The following is a 26,899-nucleotide window of genomic DNA, read 5'->3' as shown; positions in this document are numbered from 1 at the left end:
TAAATGACAGATTATTAAATAAATAAATCTGTTTATTAAGTAAATAAGTGACAATATGTATATCTATTTTCCTGTTGATGGGATTTAAATTTGTTTCCAAAATAAACATCATAAACAAAACTATTATAAGTATCTTTGTACAAGTTCTTCTGTTTATATTCACACATTTTATTGATAAAATATGTAGATATATAGGTATGCATTATAACTTTTCAGCTTTATGGAGCTATCACTGACAAATAAAATTGTATATATTTAGGGTACACCACTTGATGTATTGATGTACCTGGGGAGATGCTCATCATGATCAAGGTAATCGGCATGCCTGTCCTCTCAGAGAGTTATCATTTTATGTCTTTAATTTACTGTGTGTGTGTGATAAAAACACCTAATATCTACTCTTCTGGCAAAAGATACCTTTATAATACAATATTCATTAGTATAGTCACATTGCTTTACGTTTCATCTCCAGAACTATTTCAACCTGTGTTTTAGTCCATTCTCACCCTAATGTAAGGAACTACCTGAGACTGGGAAATTTACGAAGAAAAGTGGTTTAGTTGACTCGCGGTTCTGCAGGCTTAACAGGAAGCATTATTGGGAGGCATCAGGAAACTTACAGACATCATGGAAAGTGAAGGGGAAGCAAGGACCTTCTTCACATGCTGGCAGGGGAGAGAGAGAGAAAGAGCAAGGCGAGATGAGCCACACTTTTAAACCATGAGACCTTGTGAGATCTTGCAAGAATCACAAAGGGGAAGGTCGCCCCCATTATTCAATCTCTCCCCATCAGACCCCTCCTACAACACTTGGGGATTAAAATTTAACATGAGATTTGGGTGAAAATGCAGAGACAAACCATATCATTCCACCCCTGGTCCATGACAGATCTCATGTCCTTCTCACATTGCAAAATATATTTATCCCTTCTCAACGGTCTCCCAATCTTAACTCATTTCAGCATAATCATAAAAATCTATAGTCTAAAGTCTCCTCTGACAAGGTCAGTTTCTTCCCCCTATAAATCTGTAAAATTAAAAACAAGTTAGTTATTTCCAAGATACAACTGGGGTGCATGTACTAGGTAAATGCTCCCAATCCAAATAGGAGAAATTGGCCACAGAAAATGGATTACAGGTCCCATGCAAGTCCAAACACCAGCAGGGCAGTCATTAAATGTTAAAGCTCCAAAGTAATTTTTCTTTTACCCCATGTCTCACATGCAGGACACACTGATACAAGAGATGGTCTCCCAAGGCCTTGGGAAGCTCCACCCTTGTGGCTCTGTAGGGTCCAGCGCCCATGGCTGCTTTCATAAGCTGGCATTGAGTTCCTGTGGCTTTTCTAGGCACACCGTGCAAGCTGTTGGTGGTTCTACCATTCTGGGGTCTAGAGGATGGTGGCCCTCTTCTCACAGATCCACTAGACAGTGCCTCAATGGGGACTCTGTGTGGGGGATCCAACATCACATTTTCCTTCTACACTGGCCTAGTAGAGGTACTCCATTAGGGCTCAGCCCCTTCATCAGACTTCTGCCTGAATATCCAGGCATTTTCATATATCATCTGAAATCTAGGAGGAGGTTCCCAAACCTCAGTTCTTGCCTTATGTGCACCAACAGACTCAACACCATGTGGAAGCAACCAAAGCTTAGGGCTTGCACCCTCTGAAGCAATGGTCTGAGCTGGAACTTGGTCCCTTCTAGCTATGGCTGGCACGAGACAGACAGGGGTGTAAGGTGCCATGTCTCAAGGCTGTACAGAGCAGTGAGGTACTGGGCCTGGACCATGAAATCATCTTTCTCTCCTGGGCTTCTGGGCCTGTGATGGGAGGGGCTGCCACAAAGATCTCTGAAATGCCCTGGGAACATTTTCCCCATTGGGCTCCTCATTACTTATTCAAATTTCTGCAGCCAGCTTGAATTTCTCCCCAGGACATGGGTTCTTCTTGTCTACCAGATGGTCAGGCTGCAATTTTTTTCCAACCTTTTATGCTCTGCTTCCCTTTTAAATATGAGTTTCAATTTCAGACCATCTTTTCATGAATGCATAGGACTTATGTTTTCAGAAACAGCCAGGGAAAATCTTGAATGCTTTGCTGGTTAGAAATTTATTCTGCCAGATACCCTAAATCATCTCTCCCTAGTTCAACATAGCACAGATCTCTAGGGCAGGGGCAAAATGCCGCTAGTCTTTTTGCTAAAGCATAGCAAGTGTGAGCTTCACTCCAATTCACAAGAAGTTCTTCATCTTCATCTGAGACCACCTCAGCCTGGACTTTATTGTCCATATCACTATCAGCACTTTGGTCAAAACCAGTCAGTAAGCCTCTAGGAAATTTCACTTTTCCACGACTTCCTGTCTTCTTGTGAGCCTTCTAGGCTTTCCCAACATCTGTCCATTACAAAGTCACTTCCCCATTTTCAGGTATCGTAATAGCAGTACCGCACTCCTGGTGCAAATTTTCTGTATTAATCCATTTTCCCACTGCTATAAAGAATTACTTGAGACTGGGTAATTTATGAAGAAAAGAGGGTTAGTTGGCTTACAGTTCTGCAGGCTAAACAGGAAGTGTTACTGGGAGGCATCAGGACACACAATGATGGCAGAAGGTGAAGGGGAAGCAAGAACATTCTTCACATGGTGGCAGGAGAAAAACAGCAAGTGAGCGGGGAGGTGCCACACTTTTAAACCATCAGATCTCTTGAGAATTTTATCATGAGAACAGCAAAGAGGAAGATCACCTCATGATTCAATCACTTTATATTAGGCCCTTTCTTCAACATGTAGGGATTACAATTTGACATGAGATTTGAGGGGGAACGCAGGGCCAAAACACATCAACCTGCATAACCGAAATTTTTACCCTTTGACCTACATCGCCCAATATTTTCCTCCTCTCAGGGCCTGGGAGCTACTATTCTACTCTGCTTCCAAGAGCTGAAATATTTTACATTCTACATATAAATGAGATCATGCAGCATTTGTCTTTCTGTGTCTGGCTTATTCTAATTAGCATAATGTTCTCTATGATGCTGAAAATGTAAGAATTTCCTTCTTTTAAAGGCTGAATAATATTCAATTTTATGTATGTATATGCCACATTTTATCTGTTCATTCATAAATGGACATTGACTTATTTTCCATATCTAGGCTATTATGAATAACCTCACAATGAGCATATTTGATACACTCACTTCATTTTCTCTAGATGTACACTTAGAAGTGGGTATACCCTATGTTCAATTCATTCAGTAATCTTAATGTTGTTTTTATAATGGCTGTACTAATTTACATTTTGTTCCAAACCATACATGGATACCTTTGTACCAAATTTTCAGGTCTACGTTTAAGTGTTAAATCCATTTCTTGTTGATTTCTGTGTATTTTGTGAGGGAAGGTCCTTTTTTTTTTTTCCTTAGAGTTAGAATCTCGCTCTGTCACCCAGGCTGGAGTGCAATGGCATGATCTCGGGGCACTGCAACCTCTGCCTCCCGGGTTTAAGCGATTCTTCTGCCTCAGGCTCCCGAGTAGCTGGGATTACAGGTGTGCATCAGCACGCCTGGCTAATTTTTGTATTTTTAGTAGAGACAGGGTTTCACCATATTAGCCAGCTGGTCTCAAACTCTTGACCTCGTGATCCACCTGCCTCAGGCTCCCAAAGTGTTGGGATTACAGGTGTGAGCCATCACGCCCAACCAGTCCATTTAATTTCTTCTACATATGGATACCCAGTTTTCACACCACTTGCTGAAGAGACTGTCCTTTGTCTATTGTGTGTTCTTGGCAACTTGTCAAAGATCAGTTTATTGAGAAGAAGTGGGTTGATTATCAGGTGTCTATAATGTTCCATTAGAGTATATGTCTGTTTAAATGTCAGCATTATACTGTTTTGATTTAGATAGATTTGATTTTGAAATTATAGAATATGATATATTCAGCTTTGTTATACTTTCCCCAAAATTACTTTGGCTATTGGAAGGCTTTTGTATTTGTATATAAATTGGAGCATTTTAAAAATATTTTTGTAAAAACATGCCATGGAGATTATTTACTTTATTGACAAATAATAGATATACCTAATTTATGGGAGCATGCAATATATTTATACATTTACAAATATGTGAAGATCAGATCAGGATTGGTATATCTATCACGTTAAACAGGTATATTTTCTTTATGCTAGGCACATTGGAATGACTCTCTTCTAGTTATTTTAACGTGTACATTAGATTATTTTTAACTATAGTCACCTTACTGATCTATCAGACATTTAGGTTTTATTTCTCCTATATAACTATGTATCTGAATTCAGTAATCAACCTCTCTTTATCCCCTTCTCTCTTGTATCCACCCAGGCTTCTGGTAACCAACAATCTACTCTTCGTCTTCAGGAAATCCAATTTTTTAGTTTTGACATAAAAGTAAGAAGATGCCATATTTGTCTTTCTTTGCTTGGCTTATTTAACTTAACATAACGGCTTCCAGTTCCATTCATATTGTTGCAAATGACAAGATATCGTATTTTATGGCTGAATAATATTCTATTGCGTACATAGATTACATTTTCTCTATCCATTTGCCCACCTGCAGACACTGAGGTGCTTTCATATCTGGGCTATTGTGAGTAGAGCTGCAAAGAACATGGAGTGCACATGCCTTTATGAGGCGGTGATTTTATCTTCTTCAGAACATACCCAGAAGAGGATTTGCCACGTCATCAGGTATTTCTATTTTTAATTTATTTTGGAGTCTTCATATTACTTTGTACAATAGTGGAAATGCAATAGGAATAACCATTATAAAAAGCAGTTTCAGTTTTGAGGTATGATCCAAAAACAAATAATGTTTGACCATGATTCTCACTGGGAGTCTCTAATGAGCCTGGTGGAAATGCAGGAAGTTTTCTAACCTTGTTAAGAAAATTATGACTTTGCACATTTTTCTTTTTAAGGCTGGTAATTGGCGTGATTCCAGATGCATACTGTTGGCGGGTTTCAGAATGATACAGAAAATCATTATGAGAAGGCAAGAAAAAGAATGATAGAGAGAGAGAGAGGGAGAGAGAGAGAGAGTCAGGCCAACAATGAGAAAAAATAAATTTCACAAGAGGAGAAAGTGCTGGATATCAGTGTTGGGTTTTGGTCATAGACACATCTGTACTGAGTAAGAAACTATGAAGTCAAGGGAGGAGTCTAGAATTTGTTCAAGTGAAGCATCAGCATATTCTCTGAGGCACATATTGTCACCCCATCATAAGGGTGATGAATTTTTGAATGCCATGAAATGTGAGTTCACAGTAAGTAATCATGTTTCCATGAAATTTAGTTAAAATGCCAAGGGTGTGTTCAGATCACTCATGCACAAATACACAAAATTTGCCTTTGCATTTATAGCTATCTAGAGAAAAAGTGCATTGAGATGTCAGCAGGTTACAGAGATCTGTTTAAGTTTGGGATCCCATGGGAGAGTGCCTCTTAGTGAAGGTTGGTCTATTAATTCAGTAAGTAAAAATTCTCTCTATGGGAGTAGCTTCTAATTGTGTGGAAATTTCAATTCCTTATTGAGTTTTTAAAAAATATCTCAGGGACTGACTCCATGGAGTTTTACTGCTGTATTGATAAAAATTATCATCAAAGACCAAAGGTAGATAAAACCACAAAGATGGGGAGAAACCAGAGCAGAAAAGCTGAAAATTCTAAAAATCAGAGCACCTCTTCTCCTCCAAAGGAACACAGCTCCTCGCCAGCAACAGAACAAAGCTGGACAGAGAATGACTTTGACAAATTGAGAGAAGAAGGCTTCAGACAATTGGCAATAACAAACTACTCTGAGCTAAAGGAGGATGTTCAAACCCATTGCAAAGAAGCTAACAACCTTGAAAAAAGATTAGACAAATAGCTAACTAAAAGAAACAGCATAGAGAAGACCTTAAATAACCTGATGGAGCTTAAAACCATGGCACGAGAAATACATGATACATGAACAAGCTTCAGTAGATGATTAGATCAACTGGAAGAAAGGTTACCAGTGATTGAAGATCAAATGAATGAAATGAAGTGAGAAGAGAAGTTTAGAGAAAAAAGAGTAAAAACAAATGAACAAAGCCTCCAAGAAATATGGGAGTATGTGAAAAGACCAAATCTATGTCTGATTTGTGTACTTGAAAGTGACGGGGAGAATAGAACCAAGTTGGAAAACACTCTTCAGGATATTATCCAGGATAACTTCCCCAACCTAGCAAGGGAGGCCAACATTCAAATTCAAGAAATACAGAGAACACCACAAAGATACTCCTCGAGAAGAGCAACTACAAGACACATAATTGTCAGATTCACCAAAGTTGAAATGAAGGAAAAAATGTTAAGTGCAGGCAGAGAGAAATGTCGGGTTACCCACAAAGGGAAGCCCATCAGACTAAAAGTGGATCTCTCAGCAGAAACTCTACAAACCAGAAGAGAGTGGGGGTCAATATTCAACATTCTTAAAGAAAAGAGTTTTCAAACCAGAATTTCATATCCAGCCAAACTAAGCTTCATAAGTGAAGGAGAAATAAAATCCTTTACAGACAAACAAATGCTGATAGATTTTGTCACCACCAGGCCTGCCTTACAAGAGCTCCTGAAGGAAGCACTAAACATGGAAAGGAACAGCCAGTACCAGCCACTGCAAAAACATGCCAAATTGTAAAGACCATCGATGCTAGGAAGAAACTGCATCAACTAACGAGCAAAATAACCAACTAACATCATAATGACAGGATCAAATTCACAGATAACAATATTAACCTTAAATGTAAATGGGCTAAATGCTCCAATTAAAAGACACAGACTGGCAAATTGGATAAAGAGTCAAGACCCATCAGTGTGCTGTATTCAGGAGACCCATCTGACATGCAGAGACACACATAGGCTCAAAATAAAGGGATGGAGGAAGATCTACCAAGCAAATGGAAAGCAAACAAACAAAAAAAGCAGGGGTTGCAATTCCAGTCTCTGATAAAACAGACTTTAAACCAACAAATATCAGAAGAGACAAAGAAGGCCATTACATAATGGTAAAGGGATCAATTCAACAAGAAGAGCTATTTTAAATACATATGCACCCAATACAGGAGCACCCAGATTCATAAAGCAAGTCCTTAGAGACCTACAAAGAGACTTAGACTCCCACACAATAATAATGGGAGACTTTAACACCGCACTGTCAACATTAGACAGATCAACGAGACAGAAAGTTAAAAAGGATATCCAGGAATTGAACGCAGCTCTGCACCAAGAGGACCTAATAGACATCTACAGAACTCTCCACCCCAAATCAACAGAATATACATTCTTCCAAACACCGCATTGCACTTATTCCAAAATTGACCACATAGTTGGAAGTAAAACACTCCTCAGCAAATGTAAAAGAACACAAATTATAACAAACTGTCTCTCAGACCACAGTGCAATCAAACTAGAACTCAGGATTAAGAAACTCACTCAAAACTGCTCAACTACATGGAAACTGAACAATCTGCTCCTGAATGACTACTGGGTACATAATGAAATGAAGGCAGAAATAAAGATGTTCTTTGAAACCAATGAGAACAAAGACACAACATACCAGAATGTCTGGGACATATTTAAAGCAATGTTTAAAGGGAAATGTATAGCACTAAATGCCCACAAGAGAAAGCAGGAAATATCTAAAATTGAAACTAACATCACAATTAAAAGAGCTAGAGAAGCAAGTGCAAACACATTCAAAAGCTAGCAGAACACAAGGAATTACTAAGATCAGAGCAGAACTGAAGGAGATAGAGACACAAAAAACCCTTCAAAAAAATCAATGAATCCAGGAGCTGGTCTTTGGAAAAGATCAACAAAATTGATAGACCACTAGCAAGACTAATAAAGAAGAAAGAGAGAAGAATCAAATAGATGCAATAAAAAATGATAAAGGGGATATCACCACCGATCCCACAGAAATACAAACTACCATCACAGAATACTATAAACACCTCTACGCAAATAAACTAGAAAATTTAGATGAAATGGATAAATTCCTGGACACATACACCCTCCTAAGACCAAATCAGGAAGAAGTTGAATCCCTGAATAGACCAATAACAGGCTCTGAAATTGAGACAATAATTAATAGCCTACCAAACAAAAAAAGTCCAGGACCAGACGGATTCACAGCCAAACTCTACCAAAGGTACAAAGAGGAGCTGGTACCATTCCTTTTGAAAGCATTCCAATCAACAGAAAAAGAGGGAATCCTCCCTAACTCATTTCATGAGGCCAGCCTCATCCTGATACCAAAGCCTGGCAGAGACACAACAACAAAAAAAGAGAATTTTAGACCAATATCCCTGATGAACATCGATGCAACAATCCTCAATAAAATACTGGCAAACCAAATCCAGCAGCACATCAAAAAGCTTATCCACCACAATCAAGTTTGTTTCATCCCTAGGATGCAAGGCTGATTCAACATATGCAAATCAATAATCGTAATCCATCATATAAACAGAACCAAAGATCACAATCACATGATTATCTCAATAGATGCAGAAAAGGCCTTCGACAAAATTCAACAGCCCTTCATGCTAAACACTCTCAATAAACTGGGTATTGATGGGACTTATCTCAAAATAATTAGAGCTTTTTATGACAAACCCACAGCCAATATCATACTGAATGGGCAAAAACCGGAAGCATTCCCTTTGAAAACTGTCACAAGACAGGGATGCCCTCTCTCACCACTCCTATTCAACATAGTGTTGGAAGTATGGCCAGGGAAATCAGGCAGGAGAAAGAAATAAAGGGTATTCAATTAGGAAAAGAGGAAGTCAAACTGTCCGTGTTTGCAGATGACAAGGTTGTATATTTAGAAAACCCCATAGTGTCAGCCCAAAATCTCCTTAAGCTGATAAGCAAGTTTAGCGAAGTCTCAGGATACAAAATCAGTATGCAAAAATCACAGACATTCCTATACACCAATAACAGACAGAGAGTCAAATCATGAGTGAACTCCCATTCACAATTGCTTCAAAGGGGATAAAATACCTAGGAATCCAACTTACAAGGGACGTGAAGGACCTCTTCAAGGAGAACTACAAACCACTGCTCAATGAAATAAAAGAGGATACAAACAAATGGAAGAACATTCCATGCTCATGGATAGGAAAAATCAATATCATGAAAATGGCCATACTGCCCAAGGTAATTTATAGATTCAATGCCATCCCCATCAAGCTACCAATGACTTTTCTTCACAGAATTGTAAAAAACTACTTTAAAGTTCATATGGAACCAAAAAAGAGACCACATTGCCAAGACAATGCTAAGCCAAAAGAACAAAGCTGGAGGCATCACGCTACCTCACTTCAAACTATACTACAAGGCTACAGTAATCAAAACAGCATGGTACTGGTACCACTACAGAGATATAGATCAATGGAGCAGAACAGAGCCCTCAGAAATAATACCACACATCTACAACCATCTGATCTTTGACAAACCTGACAAAACAAGAAATGGGGAAAGGATTCCCTATTTAATAAATGGTACTGGGAAAACTGGCTAGCCATATGTAGAAAGCTTAAACTGGATCCCTTCCTTACACCTTATACAAAAATTAATTCAAGATGGATTAAAGACTTAAATGTTAGATCTAAAACCATAAAAACCCTAGAAGAAAACCTAGGCAATACCATTCAGGACATAGGCTTGGGCAAGGACTTCATGACTAAAACACCAAAAGCAATGGCAACAAAAGCCAAAATGGAGAAATGGGATCTAATTAAACTAAAGAGCTTCTGCACAGCAAAAGAAACTACCATCAGAGTGAACAGGCAGCCTACAGAATGGGAGAAAATTTTTACAATCTACCCATCTGACAAAGGGTTAATATCCAGAATCTACAAAAAACTTAAACAAATTTACAAGAAAAAATCAAACAACCCCATCAAAAAGTGGGTGAAAGATATGAACAGACACTTCTCAAAAGAAGACATTTATGCAGCCAACAGACACATGTAAAAATGCTCATCATCACTGACCATCAGAGAAATGCAAATCAAAACCACAATGAGATGCCATCTCACACCAGTTAGAATGGTGATCATTAAAAAGTCAGGAAACAACAGGTGCTGGAGAGGATGTGGAGAAATAGGAACACTTTTACACTGTTGGTGGGACTGTAAACTAGTTCAACCATTGTGGAAGACAGTATGGCGATTCCTCAAGGATCTAGAACAAGAAATAACATTTGACCCAGCCATCTCACTATTGGGTATATACCCATAGGATTATAAATCATGCTGCTGTAAAGACACATGCACACATATGTTTATTGTAGCACTATTCACAATAGCAAAGACTTGGAACCAACCCAAATGTCCATCAATGATAGACTGGATTTAGAAAATGTGGCACATATACACCATGGAATACTATGCAGCCATAAAAAATGATGAGTTCATGTCCTTTGTAGGGACATGGATGAAGCTGGAAACCATCATTCTGAGCAAACTATCACAAGGACAGAAAACCAAACACTGCATGTTCTCACTCATAAGTGGGAATTGAACAATGAAAACACTTGGACACAGGATGGGGAACATCACACACTGGGTCCTGTCATGGGGTGGGGGTAGTGGGGAGGGATACCATTAGGATATATGCCTAATGTAAATGAGGAGTTAATGGGTGCAGCACACCAACATGGCACATGTATACATATGTAAAAATCCTGCACGTTGTGCACATGTACCCTAGAACTTAAAAGTATAATAAAAAGATTAATATGATTCCTTCCAGTGTTTCAAGAAAACTTTTTCTCCAAAATTTTTTCCAGCGTATAAATTTTTCTGGCTGAATATTATAAGAGGCTGTTGCTAAAAAGACATACTAGAATGGCAGCTTTAATCTGTTCATGATAGGAGTGAGCATAATACATGATCTCTTTGAGTGTTCTGCCTCATCCAAATGCAGTGTGGCAAAGGCTAGTATTGGAGGTAAAACCTCTAAATGAATTTTTTCCAGCTACCAAGTCATAGGACAATAGCAGATACGTCCTTGAGGTAGAGGACCATAATGCCACAGTGTTAGTAGCAGTACATTTGTCCAAGGGAGTTCCAGGGTTTATTAAAATTATGATAATTTTAATGTAAGAATACCATTCTTTTAAACTTATGTGGAAGATTGTAGGAGGTTTTCACAATGTTGTCCTTTACTATCAGCCATGCCTCACATAATCACTTTATAATACTTTCATGGGTGTTCTTCACTCAGTTCATGCAAACCCTGGCAGTTTACAGGCTAAAAACACAAAATACAGAAGCTTTTAATCAACTGAAAGAGCTGTAGCCTTTTCTCAAGGAATTATTTCAAGACACGGAGAACACAGATGGATGATAAATAAAATACATTCACATCCCCTTAAGGGTAGAAATTGAGGAAAATTTACCCAAAGGTGTCCAAAGGGCCCTGTGACTTGGTTTCTGTCTAAGTCCCAGTGTTAGGGTTCTTCCAGGATTTTGTGGCTAGCTCGTCACTCCTCATCAAGAATTAACCTCTGCTGTTTCCTCAAAGTGTTTATTTAATCTGATAACCAGTTTGTCTATAAATTATAGAGTTGAAATGCAACAAATTTCATTTGAAATAATCTGGCACAAATTATCTAAGCAAAGTCGATAATGATGTTTTTTCATTCATTTGTATTTAAGATCATCAGCTAAGCGTTGATATTTTTGATAACACCCATGTCTCTCTCAGCAGTTTTGTCTTCTGAGGATATGATCTGGCGTGGCAGTTCTCTTAGCTTCAGTGTTACCTCTTTTTGCCTTGACTTCCACCTTTATATTTGCCCGGAATCTGGGATATAGGAGTGCCTCTAAGAGTCCCCTAACTTGCCCATTTTGGTGAGTGTTCTGGAACCTATGAGATGCTCTTTTGTTTACAAAGCACCCCAAAGCCATGTACTGTGCCAAAAGGTGTTTATTTCCTAGTTTGACAAATTAGAAAGTTCTAATAAATACAATCACTTCTGCCATCTGGGCTGATTTTATATCAGATAGAGGACTGTGTTCTAAAGGAAATCTTACATTAGTAAGAGCAATTTTAGTCATTAACCTAGAGTTGTACTATTGAGGTGCAAGTCATAAGAAATAATATTAGGTCGAGGTTCTCAGTGGGAGTGTCTAAATGTCTTGTGTGTACAGGGTCTCCTCTATTAACATGAAGCATTTTTGAGCACAGTCAGTTTCCAGCTATGCTTCTCCCTGTCTCACTATCACCACAAACTAACTATGACCCCACCTGGAACCTAGGTTAATTTCCAAATAAGTCATTCTTTAATCTTTGTGCCTCTAGATTATTATGTGAGTCAATTTCAGTAGAAACTTAAAAAGAACATTTGAACGGACTAAACAACACAGAAAATCACTAATAAAATGCAAAGCCTAGATGTGAGAGGCTCCAGGCCTGGATAATGGAACACTTCATGTATGCAGGTAATTTCTTTTCCCAATTCAACACTGATACACCCAGCATATCAGCTTCATGCCCCATTTTACTCCTATTATGTAGAGATATGGCAATGACATTCTCAAGGTCCACACACATATATGAAAATTGGTAGGACTAGGGGAGGAGATGAGTCTGCACTTCTCCTCTGAAGGACCAGGAAAGCCTGGACAGACCATCTCCCCGGCCTCCATGACTGCACCTCCTGCCCACATGGACACTCACCCCTGATAGGATAAGAGGATTCCATTGATGAGGCTGAGTATTTTATGATATAAGTTACTAGAGAGTGACATTGAGGTTTCAAAAACTAATATTTATAACCTAAATTTAATTTCCCCCAAATTGTTACCTCTTTCTTCAGTGAAAAATTGCTTGCCGTGATTGAGATTTAGGTAGATTCCAAATGTTCACAACTAAGCTTCCAAGAGCGTATTGGGAGCAAAAACTGAATGAGGGTAGAGAAACCCATCATCATGTATTCAACACTAAATTCAAGTGGACTCAGCACTGCCTTTGATCACTGCTGCTTCTCTGCAGAGTTCAGGTTTCTACTTCTCACGATTCCAACATAGACTCTCTCTCTCCCAAATGTTTGGCCTCCACTTGCTGTAAGGTCGCACTCTGTTCTTAGTTTGTTCTCTGAACCATTTTATGAGGGTGGTGATGAGCCATTTAATGGAAATTTTATATCATTTCAGCTGAATCCCATGGGGGATCATGAATTATTCTTCTGGTTATAGTAATGGATTTTTCTTGGTGTGTTCATTACCAGTAATATTCAAAGTCATTTCATTTAAATCTTTGATGCTTCATTTTTTGTTGCTATGACATTCTTTCTTCTATTGAATCTTCCCACTAGCATTATAACATGATCTAGTATCCAGGCTCAGTTGTCATCAATAATAACCACGTATGTCAAAACCTATGTCTTCTTTCCACAGGAGACATATTTTTCTCTTTTCAGGGGATGAACACACACTGCTGAGTGACCCCCACTCACAAGTACATATACACAATTATGAGATTTTTATTTATTTGACTAATAAGATGTATCATTCTCCCTTAAAATTCTTCAACCCCCAGAAGCCCGTGACAAACTCTTCTGCATCTGTTCATACCATAAACTCAGAAAACAAACCACATGGTGAGTAAAAGCTCACACGGTTCTGGATATGGGGTCCATCTCTTCCCCTGCAATGTCCTGCAGCACCTCAGACCACCTGTCCTGGTTCTATCAAGGAAGTTTACCTCCAGCACAGTAAAGAAAACAATTGAAGGAGGAGAGAACCTGCAGATGATAGACAATATTCAAAACTATTCATATGACAAGGGATTACTATCAAGCACATAAACTCAACTGAACTGCAAATAACAATATGATTAATAATGGGCGAATAACATGGATAAACGTCTCTCAGAGGAAGACATGCAAAGGATAGATAGATAGATCGATAGGGATATATACATACATATATTGCTAGAAATAACTAATATCAGGAAAATGCAAATTCACAATGAGCTATCTTTCCTTAATCTTTGCTGGAAAGTCTGTTAGCAGAAAGACAACATAAGGAAAACAAAAGCTGGCCAGGCTTCATGGAAATGAACACTTTTATAGACCACTTGTGGAAATGTAAATTAGTACAGCCATCATGGGAAAAAAAAGACAACTACCATATAAATCAGCAATGCAACTGCTGAGTGTGTGTGTGTATATATATATATATATATATATATATATATATATATATATATATAAAATTAAAAGAAAAAACTAATATTGAAGAGATACCTGTCGACCCATATTTATTGCAGCCCTAAACACAATTACGATATGAAATTAATGTATGTGTCCATCAAAACGTGAATGGGTAAATAAAACGGGGTATATTTACACAATGGAATATTATTCAGCCTTAAAAATGAAATTCCGCTGTTTGAAACAACATGGATGTAACTGGGAACCGTTGTGTTGAGTGAAACAAGCCAGACACAGAAAAAAAAATACCTCATTTTCTCAATGTTATGTAGAAGTTTAAGAAAGTTCATCTTCTAGAAGGAAATAGTAGAGTAGTGGTTATGAAATATCAGAAATGGGTGGAGACCGAGAGATAAGAAGTGGTTTGTTAACAAATGCACAATTACAGGTAGACAGGTGGGATACGCTCTAGTGCCCTACAGTGCAGAAGGGTGACTACAGTTAACAATATATTGTACACTTTATGTTTACAAGTAGCCAGAAGAGAGAATTTTGTATGCTACCAAGCAAAGAAATGTTAATGTCTGAGCTGATGAATTAGCTCGTTGTTCTGATTTGGTCAAACCACATTGCACAGATGTATTGAAATATCACACTGTACCCCATAAATATAAACAATCATTATCTGCCAACTTAAAAAATCCTTTAATTAAAAAAGATTTTATTTGCATACATTACAAATGATTCAACACAGAGCCAGGAAAATATAACATTTTTATTTGAAATAGTTAAATTCCTAACAAAATAGTTACATTCTTTTGCACCAAACTGTGTATTTGATCATGGTAAGTATAGACAGACTTATGCAAAGAATAATATATTTTAAACTTAGACTTCTACTTAATACTATAAATAAAAATAATTTTAGAACAGCTAAGTAAAAGGAATAAAGTTGAGGAAATGTGTGTGTGGTGTGTGATGTGTGAGCTTTTTCTTGTAACCACACTGTCCATGGTGGATGTGTGGTGTGTGTGTCTGTGTCTGTTTGTGTTTCCTCTGCTAGGGGTTCTCTGTGATTCTAGGATCTGTAGTTCAGTGTGTTTCAAAAAATTGGGAACATTCTTAGCCATTACTTTTTCAAATACTTTCTCTTTATCTGCAATTTCTCCTTTTCAGAATTAAAATATACATATACTACACTTTTTGATATTAATGTTTAGTTTCTTCAGTCTCTGTTCCTTTGCAATTTACATTGTGAATTTTCTAGAGACAATTTAAGTGCATGGTTTCATTTAAAAGCTGAGCCAGCTCTACTGAGGGGTATGCCCAAAGTTTGCTCAATGTTTATACTGCATTGCTTTTGGTTTCTTATGCACTTCCATTTGATTCTTTCTTAATATTTATATCTCTCAGTTCCCTATCTAGTCCTGCATTATGTCCACAGTTTCTTGAAGAGATTCTCACATATGAATTACAGTTACTTTACATATCTTGTTTAATCAGATATTTCTAATATCTGTATCATTTACAAATCTCATTCTGAACATTTGTTTATTGTGACTTTAGTATTTCTCATTAATATAGGTAATAATTGTTGTTGATAACCAGACATGTTGGGTCAGACAGTTGATATTATCTTATTATTTCATTTTATCCATTTTCTGCCTGTATTTGACCACACTTTATCTTTGCCAGGCCTTTAATGTGGAAATGTCTGAATCTTCTCAGAGCTACATTTGACATTTACTTTTGCAGTGGACGTCAGAGTTGAAGTCTGTTCTTCTGTGCCCGACAGAGACTTCAGATCCTCCAGTGATACCTTGTTTTTCTTTCCTGCTTGGCTTTGTCTCTTCACCTGTTCCCTCCTCCAGAGAATCTCCTTCAGTTCCTTCAGGGGGGTTAAGATGTTATATTCAACTGACAATTGTAAAATTGTCATAGAATAAAGGGATATTTAGAATAAAGGGATATTTTCTGACCTTTCATGGGTCCATATTGTGATCCTGAGTCTGGGTGTGACCTTTCCATTGTTTCTGAACTCCCTCCAGATGAGATGTTGGTCTGTGTGTTCTTGCTGTTTTCCCTGGGTGAGAGTCCTCTTGTTTTCCCCAGTTGTTCCCTCCCACAGCTCCAATGTTCTCTTTTGGTGTTATCATCTTCCAGATTTGCTGACCTGACCCATAGATTAAGGCTCTGATTCAGTATGAAAGGGGGAGGTACTTCTCAATGGAACTTAAGTAAAGACCTCTTTTTCCATCTCATTTTCTAAGGGATTGTCCCAGTGCCCCTAAGATCCTGGTTTTGGTGGCTTGCCCCTGCAGAGTAATTTCTTAGTTCTGCAATGGGGATAAAGGAGGTGAGTCTGAATGCATTTCAAAGTGTGGGTTCTTTTTCTCTCACAGACAGACACATTGGCACGGAAAGATTTTTGTAACTCTCCACATTATTGGGAAAACTGATTCAAGAGGATAGGAAAGCTCTTCAGTATGTGGTCCCTGAGAAATTCATACAACACCTTTTACCACACTTGACTTCAAGCAACCCAATATATATATGTGTGTTTTTCTCTTGTAGTAGCCTACATTTTACATGCCAGACTCTGCCCAGTTCAGCTCATATCCTGGCCTTGTTACTGCCTACAAGAACTTGCCTCTCCCTGCATTTCAGATTTGATGTTTTTCTTAAAACTTCAAGTATTTAAAGTATTTTTAAAACTTTGCAAAATCCCATTTTCTCTGTTTACCTGATATTGTTGATGTTGTTATTGTAAAAAGTAAGTAGAATATATTCCTCATCTATGTACGTTTCAAAACTGAGTTGCAGCTTTTTTTGGTAAGACCCAGAGTCATAAAAGACTGCAAATACTGTTAAGCTGCTTAACAGAAAAACAAATGCTGGTAAATGTGTTCACTGGAATACTACCCGTCATTTATAATAAATAAATGCCTGACACACAGAACAACATAAAATATCTAAGTATTTATACCGAGTAAAATATGCCAAACAAATAAGAATATATACTATGTCATTTCATTTTTATAAATGCTGATGAATAAAAAATGCATCTGAAGTAAAATAATGAGGATCAGTAGTTGCTGGGGGAAATGGTAGAAGGGAAGGGGAGAGGAGGAGGAATACAGCAGAATAAGAGGAAGTGTTGAGAAGAATTCACTTGTCCACTTTCTTGATAATGACGACAGTTACATCACGTTTATTAATTGTACATTTTAAATATGTGAAGTTTATTATCTTTCAATTAAGCCACATAAAATGTATTACAAGCAAATGGAAATTTAGACAAGCACGGAGTAATAGAAAGATACAAACATATGTTAAATGTCAGAAGTATCTGAAAATTAGTGTGTCTGGACCCTAGTTCTCTCCATATTTTCAGGTGAGTGCTGGTGGCAACATCACACATGCTCTTACTACAGAAAGTGGGTTCTGAAAACCACACCAGGCACGTCCAGCTTTGTCCTGGAGTTGGTTTAGGGGGATGTCACAGCCAGTGACGAGGAGCACAGGGCCAGATACCAGCGTTCACTTATCCCAGACATGAACTCCTGGATGCATACAGAGCCCCCTCCACTTGTGGGTTTACTTCCACTTCTGTAAAAGGAGAAAATATTGACTCCTACAGAACATAATTTACACAAATATTTACAGATGAAATAGGGTGATCAGGGCAAAGTGTTTATCACAGCACAATTTCATAAGACAGCATATTTTCCAAATACCATCGTCAGCAAACATCTGCAGGGCACCGTCTTATTATCTGGGTACAGCCTATTCCTCCAGCGTCCCACCCTAGAGCTTGTTATATAGTAGGAGATATGCAAATAGGGACCTCCCTCTACTGATGAAAACCAACCGAACCCTGACCCTGCAGCTCTGAGAGAGGAGCCTTAGCCCTGGATTCCAAGGCCTATCCACTTGGTGATCAGCACTGAGCACCGAGGATTCACCATGGAACTGGGGCTCCGCTGGGTTTTCCTTGTTGCTATTTTAGAAGGTGAATCATGGAAAAGTAGAGAGATTTAGTGTGTGTGGATATGAGTGAGAGAAACGGTGGATGTGTGTGACAGTTTCTGACCAATGTCTCTCTGTTTGCAGGTGTCCAGTGTGAGGTGCAGCTGGTGGAGTCTGGGGGAGGCCTGGTCAAGCCTGGGGGGTCCCTGAGACTCTCCTGTGCAGCCTCTGGATTCACCTTCAGTAGCTATAGCATGAACTGGGTCCGCCAGGCTCCAGGGAAGGGGCTGGAGTGGGTCTCATCCATTAGTAGTAGTAGTAGTTACATATACTACGCAGACTCAGTGAAGGGCCGATTCACCATCTCCAGAGACAACGCCAAGAACTCACTGTATCTGCAAATGAACAGCCTGAGAGCCGAGGACACGGCTGTGTATTACTGTGCGAGAGACACAGTGAGGGGAAGTCAGTGTGAGCCCAGACACAAACCTCCCTGCAGGGGTCCCCAGGACCACCAGGGGGCGCCCGGGACACTGTGCACGGGGCTGTCTCCAGGGCAGGTGCAGGTGCTGCTGAGGGCTGGCTTCCTGTCATGGCCTGCGGCGGCCTCATTGTCAAATTTCCCCAGGGAACTTCTCCAGATTTACAATTCTGTACTGACATTTCATGTCTCTAAATGTAAAACTTTTTTGTCCTTTTTGTTTCTTTGTTTTTGTAACAGGAGGACACACCCTCACCTCCACAGAAACCACAGTGTCACTTTGGGGGCAGATGATCCTTCTGTGGTCAGCAGGATGAAAGTTCCGAGGAATCTCAGGGGAACCCGAAGAGTGTTTGCCAGTTAGACTCAGGGCAGCGACCTCCACGGGAATCTCTGATTAGAACAGGCTTTGAGTTCTGATAGGAGCCAAGAGAGACGCTCACACAGGGTCAGGGTCCTTAAAGCCTGATGGTTTTCACAGCTATCCCCCCTGGTCTTGTAAAACTGTGTACATATGACTCAGACTGATTCACTTGACCCCCTTTCTGCTAATCCATTTTCCTTCTCTGCATACTTGATTCTCACAATTCCCTTTCTTCTCTTCCCCGAAAACTGAGGATGTGTTTTCTGTAGTCTAAATTCCAGGGCTCAGGTCTGCAGGACCTGGGTAGGCTACGGGGACTTTCTCACTCACCATTGTCTGGACTCTCCTGTTGTCGTCTGTGAACAGAGATGTTTGGAAGATGAAGTGGACATTAGTCATGAAGGGAATAATACTAGTTTTCTCCAATGGGATACTGATGTAGAGCTGATCTTGTGCTTCTCACACTGTCACAGAGTTTGGACTCTCACCCGTGACTTTGAGGAGAGCTGAGGATGGACACTCCATTGTGCTGTGAGCTCTGGGTAACAATAGTAGGGCCTGGCTAGGCAGCCTAAGGTCAATACTGCTGGCCTTCAGGAAAGACAGGCTGGAATTCCTGGGAAGACCTGCATCTGCCGTCCACCATGGAGTCCCATCGTCTTCTATTATGCCCTGATTGAATCAGCCCCACCTAGGTTATCTAGAACACTCTTCGTGACTTACGAAAAAATAATGGGAGGCTCTACTAACACCTGTGTTATGCCATGGGAGCAACACCTAAGCTAGTGTGTGATTGAGTAGATGAGACTGTGGTCTAGTCAAGGTGACACATAAAATTAATTGTTGCCATTATAATATTTTATTATATATTTGGCAATATAGTCGTGCTCATATTATAAATACTTTTGCTACGTTGTTGTTATGTCAGAAGCTTTTGAATAAGAACAGCTTCATCTTGAATAGGGGCTAGGAAAAATAAGACTGAGACCTGCTGGGCTACGTTCCCAGTAAGCTAAGGCGTTCTTAGTCACAGGATGAGATAGGAGGTCTGCACAGGATCCAGGTCATAAAGACCTTGCTGATGAAGGTTACAGTAAAGAAGCTGGCCACAGCCCACCAAAACCAAGACAGTCACGAAAGTGATCTCTATTCATCCTCACTACTCATTATATGCTTATTGTATTGCCTTAACATGCTAAAAGACACTCCCCCTAGTGCATGACCGTTTACACATGTCATGGTAACATCAGGAAGTTTCCCTGCATGGTCTACAAAGGAGGGGAGGAAACCTCAGCTTCAGGAATTGCCCAGGGGACTCATGAATAATCCATCCGTTGTGAGAAATACATTCATCCCTTTGAGAGAAAATGCACAGGGGGTGGAATGAGGCTGGGAAGCTGATGGCACATGGTGGAAGCCTGTCCCTGAGTGAAGGAGAGGGGGAAGCTGGATTGGGTGGAAGGTCCCTATATTTGTGTGCTGTGCAAGGAAGTGCAAAATATAATTGAGTTTTGTGCAAGTCAGTGCTGCCTCTCAGGTGATCCCCATGACTCCCAGAAATGGCTCTGCTTAGGAATCCCTGAGGAGTCAGTCATTTCATTAGAGTAGACCACAGGACATGGGCTTCAGCACACGCCATGCCACAGATGTCAGAAAGCAGCTGCTGGGAACCTGACCCACCTGCATTTTGCTGCCTGTAGGAAAAGGCAGGGAGGTGCATCCTCAGGGACAACACACTGTTTTGGATTTCTATAAAGAACACCTGCTTTTACTGTGTTTTATTGGAAAATACATGAACAAATGTGAGCCTGCAAACAATTGTAATTTTCAGTTATTTTAATTGCATTCATTTGTAATTCTGCATGATATGCTGACACAGAGTTGCATTTTTCATAGATATTGTTCAATGAATCAAGAACATGCATTTTCCACTTTCACTGGTTTTTCTCCGTGTGCAGAGACCTTGAGTAGAGCCTGTCTGGCCCTTATCCACACTATCTCTTGTGTCCCCGGGAAAAAGCAGAGATTTGCCTGACTGCAGAATCTGGGGTAGGAGTCTGCTCAGCTCACAGCCTGCAGAGAAGCCCAGTGAAGTTTTATGGAGTCAGAGAGCTTTCCCATGTGGGGAACCTCTAGCTTACCCATGGCCAGAGATTACTGGTCAGCTGTAATTGAGAGTTTAACAATTAGAGCACTCAGAAGCCTATCTCATCGCAGCTTCATTATGTAACTTACCACCATTAGACTGCGGTAATAACTCAATCTTGATTTTTCTGACCCCATTTTCTCATCTTATTCATTTGTAAATTGGGTTATAGAAAATGTTATGTTTTAGACTCTGATTCAAATCTCAGAAGTTTATGAACTCATCAGGAATAATACAAAATGTGTCTAGTTTTGGGGAAATGTAAATGAATGTCCATGCAGTGTGTGTGTTTGTTGTGTGGGGATATGTCAGTCACACCCCAATGAACATGATTTCTGAATTATATCATCAAACTACAATTAGATTTGCTGAAAATTGCCTGCAGTAATGTCTGTGATGATGAACCTGTCACCTTGTTGTGAGGATGCTCAGTGCACAGGCGAGGTTGCACAGGAGACATCCAAGGAGCAGCCCCCAGGCTTGGCAGAATTCCTGGCCAGGAGCCAGACATAGGACTGGGTGTCTCAAAAGCAGATTCCCCAACCCCATCCCTTTATTTGGACTGCATGGGCATCATGAGGACCAGCAGGAGATGCTCAGAACTCACTCAAGGCAGAGCACCATTTAGGAGCAGGTGCAGCGAGGAAACAGCCAGAGAACCTCTGACTAGAAGCTTGGGTTGTTTTCTTTTGCTTAAGAGCATCCAAGCCTAAGTATATCAACCACTATATGTATATATATAAGTAGACTATCCACTATATATAGAGAGAGATAGATATAATCTGTATATATATACAGATTATATCTATCTATATACATTATATATACAGATTATATATATATAATCTGTATATATAAGAAAGTTATGAGTTACAGATTATATATATACATTTATATATATACATTTATATATATTTATATACATTTATATATATACATTTTATACATATTATATATATACAGAGCAAAACGAGGTAAATATGACTCTGCCATTAACTCCTTGAACCTGGGTCATTTTTTCTGAGAATGCCGTCATCTACAGCATGATGGTTCTCATGTCAAAATCAACACGCATAGTTAGTCACCATGAAGACTGTTTTATCTCATGGTAGAAATGTTTATTTAATTAAAAAATTACATTTCATACGAAAGGGTCTGTATTATTTCTTTCTCACACTGCTGTAAAGACATCACCTGAGACCGGGTAATTCGTAAAGGAAAGAGGTTTAATGGACTCACAGTTCTGCATGGCTGGGGAGCCTCAGGAAACTTACAATTATGGTGGAAGGTGAAGGGGAAGCAAGTCCCTTCTTCACAAGGCAGCAGGATGGAGAGAGAGAGAGAGAGAGAGAGAGAGAGAGAGAGAGAGAGAGAGAGAGAGAGAGAGAAGGAGAAGCAGGATAAAGAGCCGGAAACTTATCAGACAAACCAATCTCCTGAGAACTCTATCAGGAGAACAGCGTGGAGGAAACCACTCCCACAATCTAATCACCTCTCACCAGACCCCTCGCCTGACACTTGGGGTTTACAATTCAGTATTAGCTTTGGGTGAAAACACAGAGCCAAACCATGTCAGAATTTCTAGGTGAGAATTGGTCAATTCATAAGTTATTAGTGAAGTATCAGAAAAATAAATAGCACCAGTGTTGTTGTTATCCAGTTAATTTATAAACCATGTCAATATCCATTTTATGAGAGGTGTAGGAAAAGTGTGAGATGGATAGATAGATAGATAGATAGATAGATAGATAGATCTACCAAATACAATATATATAACTATATTATATATATTACTATGTATATAATATATAGTAAGTGATATATGGTATATATATATGACATTAATTCTACCAAATACTTCACATATGTATGTGCATATATATATAATATTAGGTATGATATATATATGAAATATCAGGACATATATATATATATATTTTATAATGTCTCCTGGGATTTAGTGTTGAATTTTTTAATATCTACATGTATTCCAGGATAAATGTTGGTGGACTTCATAAAATATATTCTAATTTTTATGTGCAAGATGATCACTTTCAAATAAGGTTTAGCTACAGAAACCAGATGTATCTTTCTACCAGAAATTACTGGAAAGCACAGTGAAATTTCTTAATCAGGATTTTAAGATGCTTGACACCACTCAACAAAGACAGTGATTACTAAGAGAGAGAGGAAATAAGCATAAGGAGCCCTCCGGTGAATGCAGGCTCAGATACTTCCTCAAAGGTGTTGCCAGGCTACAGTGCTGGAGTGGAAACCATGTGGATTTAGCATTAATAAAATGGAGCTGGAAACCCACGTAGGCCAAGAAGTGTGGATACCACAGGATAGCAAGTGGATTGCAGAAAACTGTCAGAGAGTGAACCCCATAGATGGCAGGAGGAACACCCAGACTTGACAGAGTGCAGATCAGTGTGTAGAAAGCAGGGAAAGTTGTACGTGAGAACACACCCTGCTGCAGGAAGCTCTCCCTAAAATCCAGAGCCATGGTAAATATATGAATATACACTTACAAACTTTAAAACATACGGAAAGGCACCATAATAAAGTCAAATAAAGGAAAGGTGGGTTGGCTACATTAAAATATAAAAAGAGTATTTCTGAGCAAATAATAATACTTATGAGGGGAACAATTTTATTCTACCATGGCAAATGATTTCAGAGAGCAACATTCGAAATGCTTATGGCCATAATGAGGAAGCTTCAAACAAGTATACGAATAGAATTATTACCAGAGTGGTAGTACCAGAGCCCTCAGCTTTCTGATGAAAACTGATTCTTATTATGAAAGCTAATTATTATTATAAGCTTATTATTATTAACACTAATTATTATTAATTATAATATTATATAATTATTATAATATTATTATGAAAGCTTATTATTATTATGAAACTGATATTACTAGAGCCCTAAGCTAAGTGTTATTACCAGAGTCCTCAGCTTTCCGATGAAACAACAACGTCTGATAAAAATTGTAATAACCCAAACATATAAAATCAATTCAAATTATTCTAAGGATGCACAGTAAATAAAAATCATTGATTGATAAAGTGTGCTGCTATAGACTGAATGTTTATTTCCGCCCTCAGACATTTGTTGGAATTCTAACCCCAATGTGATGGTGTTACGAGGTTGGGCCGTTGGTAAGTGAATGGGTCACCTTTGGAAGATGACTAGGCCCCATCCACCCTCATGAATGGAATCAGTGCCCTTGTTAGAGACTCCAGAAAGCTCCCTCTCCTCTTCCACCAGGTGAAGGAAAAGTAGAAAGATGGTCAACTATGAAGGAGGAAGCAGGTTCTCACCAGATACCAGTTTCAAAGCATGTTGGCCTTGCACTTGCTGACCTTCAGAATTGTGACAAATACATTTATGCTTGATCTGAACCACCCAGACTATTCTCTTACAGCAGCTAAAACATCAAGTCTCAGCTAGGGCAGTGAGGGCCCACAATACTTGAGAGACGAGCATCACCCTCTCCTTTCCAGTTCAGGATGACAGAAGCTTGATCTCGGGCTGAACTGACAAGCAGAGAGTCCTTCCTCTCCCCCAGATCGCAGTTGAGGCCGTGGTGTCAGATCTCTGTGGTTGAGAGTGAATTCCAGTCTGTGATTTCATGGATGCCTTTCTTCATCTAGTTCCACTTATGAGACAGAGATTCCATGCTATGAGTTATAGGCCAAGAATAGAGGAACCCCAATTATTCCCACCCAGCTCACCTGTAGGGCAGAGGATCTGGAGAGCTTTCTGGGTGAGGCACAAAGAGACTGTATGAGTCCACCCCTCCCATGCAGTTTCCTGTACTTAAAGCAGAGGTGTCCCTCTGACACAGATGAACCCTTTCTTCCGCACCAAGGCAGAGGCGGTTATATTTTTACAGTGGCAGACAGAGGGCATAAAAACAGAAATGCAGAGCTCTCTCTAATGGATGTGACTTTATTTGCAGTAAAAGGAGAATAATTTCAACCCTAGGTTTTTTCTAAAATATTATAAATATTTATGGTAAGTTATTAATAGAAAGCTGGTGGCTTCATGAGAGCAACACATTAAACAGGAATCCACTCATTTCAGCAGACAGAAGGAGAAAAACCATAATTTAGGAATAATGAGCTGGGCACTGTGGCACTGCCTGTGGTTCCATACACTTGGGAGTCTGATGTGAGAATAACACTTGAGCCCAGGATTTCAAGGCCAACCTGAAAACGTAGCTAGACCCCATTTAGTAAAATAAATAACATTTTGGGGTCAGGACAAAGTTCAAAAACTGCCCCTGAAATGAAGCCCAAATTTAATTGTGTAACACTGTGGATTAATGGATGACACAACAGTGTCACCATGCCTGCTGTGAGTGCAGTGTAACACTTGGATGACATATGAAGAGATACAGACACCCAAACAGAGACATCAGACAGTGAAGCTGTCAAAGGCTGCACTGCCGAGCGTCAGGCTTTTTATGGAAACCGTGTGTACATCTGGAACTGCACCTGGGAATGACGACATCAACCCTTTAATAGTGTCGGGGAAAGAGACGTCACTGAAATAGACAAACTAAGGGACTCAAGAAATAAATAGAGCGATTGGTTTTACCAATACACCAGAGCGTTTTGGGTGATCACTATTCAGAGTTTCTGAATTGTGTTACCTAACTGTCATTCAGAAAATAATTATGAGATACACAAAGAAAAAAATAACGTCACGAATGTACAGGAAAATTTCCAGAAAACACAAACTGTCTTTGAGTTGGTACAGATTTTGGACTTAACAAATGGAGACTTCAAAACAATTATTATAAAAATGCACAAATCACAAAGGAATACTATCCTAGAAAAGTTAAGGAAGGTATGATGACAGTATCTCACCAAAAAGTTAATATCAATAATGAGAGAGGGTTTTTGAAAGAAAGTTATAGACACGCTAAAATTAAAAACACAGTAATTCAAAACTATATGTCAGAGGTGATAAGCAGTATACTTGAACCTAAAAAGAAAAAAAAGCACACTTAGATATATATTAGTAGATATGCTATATTCAAAGAATAGTGAAAATTGCAATAAAATGAAATAAGCTTAACATAAAAGGTGGACCCTGCTAGACAAATCAACATATGTTTAGTGTGAACATTAGCATGAGAAGAGAGAAAGAAATATGTCACAAAAATATGTCATAATATAATGACAGATAATTCCATGATTTTTATGATAAATACTAATATACACATTGAAGTATGAATAGCTCAACAAACTCAAGGTAAAATAAGTTATAAGAGATCCTCAACAAAACACATTATAATAAAATATTTTACAGAAAAACTACTGAGAAAATCTTGAAGGCAGTGAGAGAAAAACAACTTCTCATATACAAGATAATTCTATCAACAGCTGATTTCTCATCAATAACAGCTAATGCTAAAAGGCAGCAGGATGACATATTTTCCCTTTGTATCCCATTTTATCCTCAAAGGCCACCTGCATACAAAGTAGACCAGTCTTACAAGAAAATCACAGCCCTAGTGTTCTTCTCTCAAGGAGCCCGGCTATGGACCTAATGGTGCCCTCCCCAAAGTCATAAGTATAATTCCCAACCTGCAATGTTACAGTATTTGGAAATGAGACTTTTGAAAGTGATAGAGTTTGAATATTTGTCCTCTCCCAAGGTCATGTTGAAATGTAATCACCAATGCTGGAGGGGGGGCCTGGTGG

General features: G+C 39.0%; 1 gene segment (V, D, J or C) and 1 further gene; both read left to right on the top strand.

Annotated features, from left to right (window-relative positions):
• Positions 1–26,899, top strand: part of IGH (immunoglobulin heavy locus) — a 1,293,408-nt gene that overhangs the window by 626,144 nt on the left and 640,365 nt on the right.
• IGHV3-21 (immunoglobulin heavy variable 3-21) lies at positions 18,186–18,639 on the top strand. The segment is given in 2 exon segments: positions 18,186–18,231; positions 18,333–18,639. Coding segments are annotated over 2 exon segments (353 nt in total), but the record flags the coding sequence as incomplete, so codon positions are not given.

The sequence above is a fragment of the Homo sapiens genome, chromosome 14, assembly GCF_000001405.40.
Source record: "Homo sapiens chromosome 14, GRCh38.p14 Primary Assembly".
NCBI lineage: Eukaryota > Metazoa > Chordata > Mammalia > Primates > Hominidae > Homo > Homo sapiens.
The sequence above is the reverse complement of the archived record's forward strand: the minus strand, read 5'-3'. Positions and strand labels throughout refer to the sequence as shown.